Source organism: Homo sapiens, chromosome 8, assembly GCF_000001405.40.
Source record: "Homo sapiens chromosome 8, GRCh38.p14 Primary Assembly".
Taxonomy (NCBI): Eukaryota; Metazoa; Chordata; class Mammalia; order Primates; family Hominidae; genus Homo; species Homo sapiens.
The window spans coordinates 117,735,649-117,741,648 of record NC_000008.11 but is presented as its reverse complement, the minus strand read 5'-3'; the positions used below and the strand labels follow the sequence as shown (position 1 = coordinate 117,741,648).

Genomic DNA, 6,000 nt, shown 5'->3' with positions numbered 1-6,000 from the left:
AGTATGGAGATCAGGAACAGACATGTAAGACATGTTGTGGTTTATTAGTGAGTTTTACTATATAGTGAAGAGCAAGGCAAGTGTTTCTTTGACAAAAAAAAAAAAAAGAAGAAATTTTGTGTTTAATTTAACTAACTCTCTGTGGAGCTCCATTTAAATAGCTGGATCCAATAAGAAATTAATCACTGGATAAGAAAATCTTAGCTCTTATCATAATGCTTTCCTCTGTGTTAGAGCAAAGAGAAATAAATGCTTTCTTCTCTGTTTGCTTGAGTGAACCTAGCATGGATTATCAGGTATAAAATATCTGGGAGATGACCTGTACTGGGTATTCTCTCAGGCTGACTAAAGTGTCCACATGGCTGTAGAGGTGGCTGAAAAATGCCTCACAACTGCTAGCATTTATTGAGCAATTCAGCTGCGCTGGGTTGTTGTTCTAATTGTTTTGGATATAAACCATTTTATCTTCTCAAGAATTCCAAGAGGTAGGTGCTATTATTGTTATTATTATTGTTATTATTGAGAGGGAGTCTTGCTCTGTTGCCCAGGCTAGAGTGCAGTGGCACAATCTTGGCTCACTGCAACCTCCGCCTCCTGGGTTCAAGTGATTCTCCCACCTCAGCCTCCCCAGTAGCTGGGACTACAGATGTGCACTACCACGCATGGCTATTTATTTTTATTTTATTTTTTTGGTATTTTTAGTAGGGATGGGGTTTTGCCATGTTGGCCAGGCTGGTCTCGAACTCCTAACCTCAGCGGATTCACCCACCTCCGCCTCCTAAAGTGCTGGGATTACAGGCATGAGCCACCGCGCCCGGCCAGGAGCACTGGACTGCAGACCAAGAGGTAGGTGCTATTATGAGCACCACTTTACAGTTAAGAAAATTAAAGTTTAGAAAATTAAAATAACTTGTCCAGGATCATACTGTTAATAAATGACAGCATCAGGATTTGAATTTAGAAAAACTGGCTTCCAGCTTCATCCATGTCCCTACAAAGACATGAACTCATCCTTTTTTATGGCTACATAGTATTCCATGGTGTATATGTGCCACATTTTCTTAATCCAGTCAAAAAACCAAACACCACATGTTCTCACTCATAGGTGGGAACTGAATAGTGAGAACACTTGGACACAGGAAGGGGAACATCACACACTGGGGCCTGTCGTGGGGTGGGGGAGGCGGGAGGGATAGCATTAGGAGATACACCTAATGTAAATGATGAGTTACACCAATATGGCACATGTGTACATATGTAACAAACCTGCACATTGTGCACATGTACCCTAGAACTTAAAGTATAATATGAAAAAAAGAAAGAAAAACTGGCTTCAAAGCCAGTTCTCTTACCCACTGCTGAAGAAGGTCTCAGGTTCAGGACCCAATTCAAGAAGCAAGGAAAGATCATCCGTCAGAAGACAGACTAGAAGGTTAAAAGCCAGGAAAAATAGTGCAGGAAACAAGAAATGAGATGAATTAGAGTGAATAGTTCAGGACTATGGCATGAATAATGCAAAACATTGAAATATGGTCCCGTTTTTTTGAACCCAAGTGTGTGGTAAGTTTGGAGGGAAGCAGTCAGTCCTAATGGCTTAAAGTTGCTTCTAGAGCTGGATCGTCTCTGCCCTCCTGCATGTAATGATCTAGCTATGACAATGAGAATTATAGGGCTGGGCATTGTGGCTCACGCCTGTAATCCAAGCACTTTGGGAGGCCGAGGTGGGAGGATCATTTAAGCCTAGGAGTTTGAGACGAGCCTGGACAACATAGGGAGAACTCTTCCCTACAAAAAATAAAAAAGTTCACTGGGGATGGTGGTGCATGCCTGTGGTCCTAGCTACTTGGGGGAAAGAGGTAGAAGGATTGCTTGGTCCTGGAAGGTTGAGGCTGCAGGGAGCCGTGATCACACCACTGAACTCCCTCCAGCCTGGATAACAGAGTGAGACCCTGTCTCAAAAAAAAAAATTGTATAGGGAAAAGATCAGTAAATTATTTCAGAAAGCAGATACTCTGGATTACATGGAGACTGTATGAGAGGCCTTTTTCTCAATTGCCATAACTCTGTTTTATAGAGATTGAGTTCACAGGCAAAAACTGGGCAGAGCCTTCCCCAGAGTCTGAAGTTCTGAGTGCCAGCGGACATCTGTCCCTGTAGTCTATGGAATTGTCTTTATGAGCAGCACTTTGAGAAAGCTGGACAGAGTATCGCTGGCTTACTCAGCTACAGTATGCCCAGTGGTGCTAGAAGAGGAGATTTTGCAGCCGGTTTGCATTGATACCTGACCTTGGCCCTTGGATACTATTCATGTGGGCCTTTCCCGAGAAGGCTTGTTTCCTTACTGTATTTGGCTAAGACAGCGGTCCTGTGGGTGGCTTCAGTATTATGTTTGGAACAGGGGAAGTATTGCAACACATGCCAAGAATTGACTTTTATTTTTAAAAGCTGCTTTTTGCAGAATCGAATATCTGTGACCTTCTTTGGTTACAGCAGATCTACACATGGTAATTGGCTTAAGGTCAGTGTCTTGGGCATCTTTTAGTGACAGGTATACACTTTATAGGACTATTCTCAAGAGGTACCACTTCCTTTCAGGACCACTTTACAATTTCTCAAACTCTTCATTATGGTTCTCATCTCTGCCCTTGTTTACACTGATTTGCTTTAGTGTCATGACAAGCTTTGTGCTCAAGATAGATTGCTTTGCTTTAGGAAAGAGGTGTATTTTGTCGTTTCACACTCCAGTGTCCTGTTCCTGCATGTGAGCACCAGGATCAAACAGTTCAAACATAAATCTGGGAGGTGGGGTTGATGGAGCAAATCAAGACCACCAATGTCTTGCCCTGTGCCTTGAGAAAGGCATTCACTTATCCTCTGCTTCAGGTGCTCCTTGGTAACCCAGGATGAGGGCATTCCCAAAAAGATCGGATGAGAGAATTGATGCATGACAAGACATTGGAGAGGTCTGGATAGATAAAAGCCTAGAAACTCCAGTGACACCATTACCTTCCAATCCCACTGGTCTCCAGTCTTCTCTTAATTGCTTAGTTGCAACTATGCCCTGATTTGGAGGGGATAAGTGTACTGGTAACCTAGAGGACACTGAGAGGGAATCCAGATTTCAAGAATTCAAAAGCAAAAGTGACCCAGTGGGTATCAGTAGACAATGGATATTTGTTTTCCCACTGCAGCATGGGGATCTTGATCTAGCTCAGTGAAGGTCATAGGCAAGATCAGTGTGCTAATGTGAGTGAGGCATTAGGGAAGTATGAAGTAGTGTTGTACTGCCTGCAGGTGGTCTACTTTCTCCTTCCTCAGCTCTGGCTCCGGAAACTGGAGGCATCCCTCTCCATCCAAGACTGGCCTGCCAAGCTGCCTGCTTAGAAGGACTTTGGAAGCAAGACAGAGCAGTGTCTTCATCAGATACCTGCCAAGGCAAGTGTTGCTCAGGATTGCCATCCAGTTGGCTATGTCTTCCTTTGAAATGTGCTTTTAGTTAGGTGATTGATGTATTTGATTTTTGACTTTGTTTAATATTGGGTATTAACTCAACGTTCTGTCTTGTGAGCTGTCAGCAGTTGAAGCAGTTTTGGAGGGAGGTTCTCAGAGTAAAGACTGCATCTCAACCTTTCAGATGTCTCTTCTTACCCAAGGGATTGAAAGGGTGAGGGATGTAAGGTGTAAAGAGAGGCCCTCTGACTCTTCCCCTAAGGGGTTAAATCTTACAAAACTTTCAAGGGATATCAAGGGTACTTTAAATTGATTTCAAAAATATCACCAAAAGGTAGAGCCCAAGAGAGCATTGTGCTCTGAGACACAAAATCTTATTTATCCACAGAAGGCAAAGGGATGCATGCGTGTTGTGTGAGTATGTGTGTGCAGCTTCCAGCAAGGAAAACGTGAGGAGAAAGGTGACAAATGAAGATTCCAGAATTCACTGGAAGAAAATTCCTGTTCTCTTTTCCCAAGACCGAACACAGAGAACTCATGAGAGATAAGGCATGTACGTTGAGTTCAAGGTCAAGAGAGATGGGACCAAAAATGCAAAGATGCAAAGATGTGGTAGAAAAACAAGAAACAGTAAGGTAAAAGTACCACAGCTCAAAGTAAGATAGCAGGTACCAGGAAAAACAAATCGCCATGTCTTCAGAGCTATCCTGGCCTCTGAGGGAAGCTCCTCTTCTACACCAAGCTCCAAATTGTATCCTCAAGGATAAATGCTGATAATGGATTAAGGTCAAGGCCATTTACTGTGCCACAATGCTAGAGGCTTGAACATCTTTGCTAATAAGTAAGGGGCATCCGCCCTGGGTCCCAAGTGGCAGCAGTTTCTCTGGAGTCCTTTGTCATCTCTTGGAGCATTCTTTCTCCTTCTCTCTTTCTTCCTCATGACAGGTGCAGAAATAGGCTCCATGCTGCACCTGCTTGATAGTTACTCTGCTCTAGGGATGCCCTGCAGTTGCCCACTAGACCAGCTAAAAAGGGCAAATGCTCTCTGGCTTGCTTGACCTTGGTGGGATTCTCCAAGGACTCATTTCCCCTCATCGTGGCTATGAATCCAGAGGGAAAAGAAGCAAGGCCTGCTTAGGTCTGCTTTTAGGCTGGGCAGGGCCTTCACATCATCCAGCTTTGTTCACTATGCTAAATTCTCATGTAACAACTGTGTGTTTTTTACTGTTCTTCTCTGCGTATATCTTCTTTGGTCCTTGAAAAGGGAGTCTGTGGGAGGGCATAATTCAAGACTTTGGGATTCTGCATCTTGGCCAAATACAATTTTCTCAATGTCTTCCTGTCATATCATGATTTATGGCCCACAGAAGCTGAAACGGTGGAACAAGGAGTTTGGACACAGGGCCAAGGTGCCAGCAACTAGGAAAACTGTAGAAATTAAGAAAAAATATTCATTCAGTCTCCATCATCCTAAAAATGTATATGTCAGTGCTGTATAAGATGGAGTTACAAATTTACCTAAGGCAGGATCCCTGTTGTCAATGAATTCACTATTTAACAGGTCAAATAGACTTAAAAATGAATAATTATTATTAGTGGGTGGCATGCTGTATTGACAAGGAGTGTTAACAGTAGATCTCAACCTCAGAACTCCTATCTTTCTCCCCCATAAACCCATCTTCATTCTCCTCCTCTTCCCATCTTCCCTCTTTTGTCCCTTTGTAATTATTATTATTAACATTTGAAACATACAGGCGTACCTCAGAGATACTGCAGGTTTGGTTCCAGACAGCCACAATAAAGCAAATATTGCAGTAAAGAAAGTCACACAAACTTTTTTTTTGGTTGCCTAGTGCAAATAAAAGTTATGATTATACAATACTGGCATGTACAAACATCTGGGGTCCAGCATTCAACCAGTAACAACACTTTCTTTTCCTGGCCCTGTCCCCTGTGTGCATATTTCCCTAGAGAACATCAAGGAGTATGGTTGTGACAGGTCAGGCCAGGGGTGGGTGTTTTCCCATTGGTGATTCAAGCTCTTTAATGAAGCTGAGGTGGGTGGCTGGTGGCTGGAGATGAACCAGGGATGAGAACACCTATGAGGAGTGGGATGTTGCCAAGAATGGGTTCCTTTTTTTCCCCTCCTAGAAGGCAGAAGTTGCCTGATGTTTGGCAACTACTAAAAAAATGTATGCTTGGGAAGATAAAGGCTAGAGAGTGTTGTAAGATTAGTAGAATCCCCTTAGTAGTTACCCCTCTGCTGGTAACAGAATGTGAGACTCAGGCTATGGAAGTGGGTCAGCAATGCCTTCCTAGTGTAAAGGAGGCATATCCCGGGTGAAAGCTGGCTTTAGCAGTAAAGGACTAGTTAGAATCTTAATTTTATTACTGGAACGTCGCCTGGAACCTCTTGGGCAAATTATTTAACTTCGTTAAGTCTCAGTTTCCTCAACCTTCTTATAGAGATATTTCATTTCTCACAGGCTGTGTATGGACAAAATGATATGCTACATATGTGTACATTGATAGCTCTTGGCAGTCTCTGGC

General features: G+C 43.1%; 1 long non-coding RNA gene across 1 annotated transcript; it reads left to right on the top strand.

The window, feature by feature from the left end:
• The first annotated feature begins 752 nt into the window (after positions 1 to 752).
• On the top strand, positions 753 to 5,488 carry LOC107986970 (uncharacterized). The gene is made up of 2 exons (XR_001746051.1): positions 753 to 846; positions 3,319 to 5,488. It is a non-coding gene; the product is annotated as an uncharacterized LOC107986970 (long non-coding RNA).
• The last annotated feature ends 512 nt before the right edge of the window (positions 5,489 to 6,000 follow it).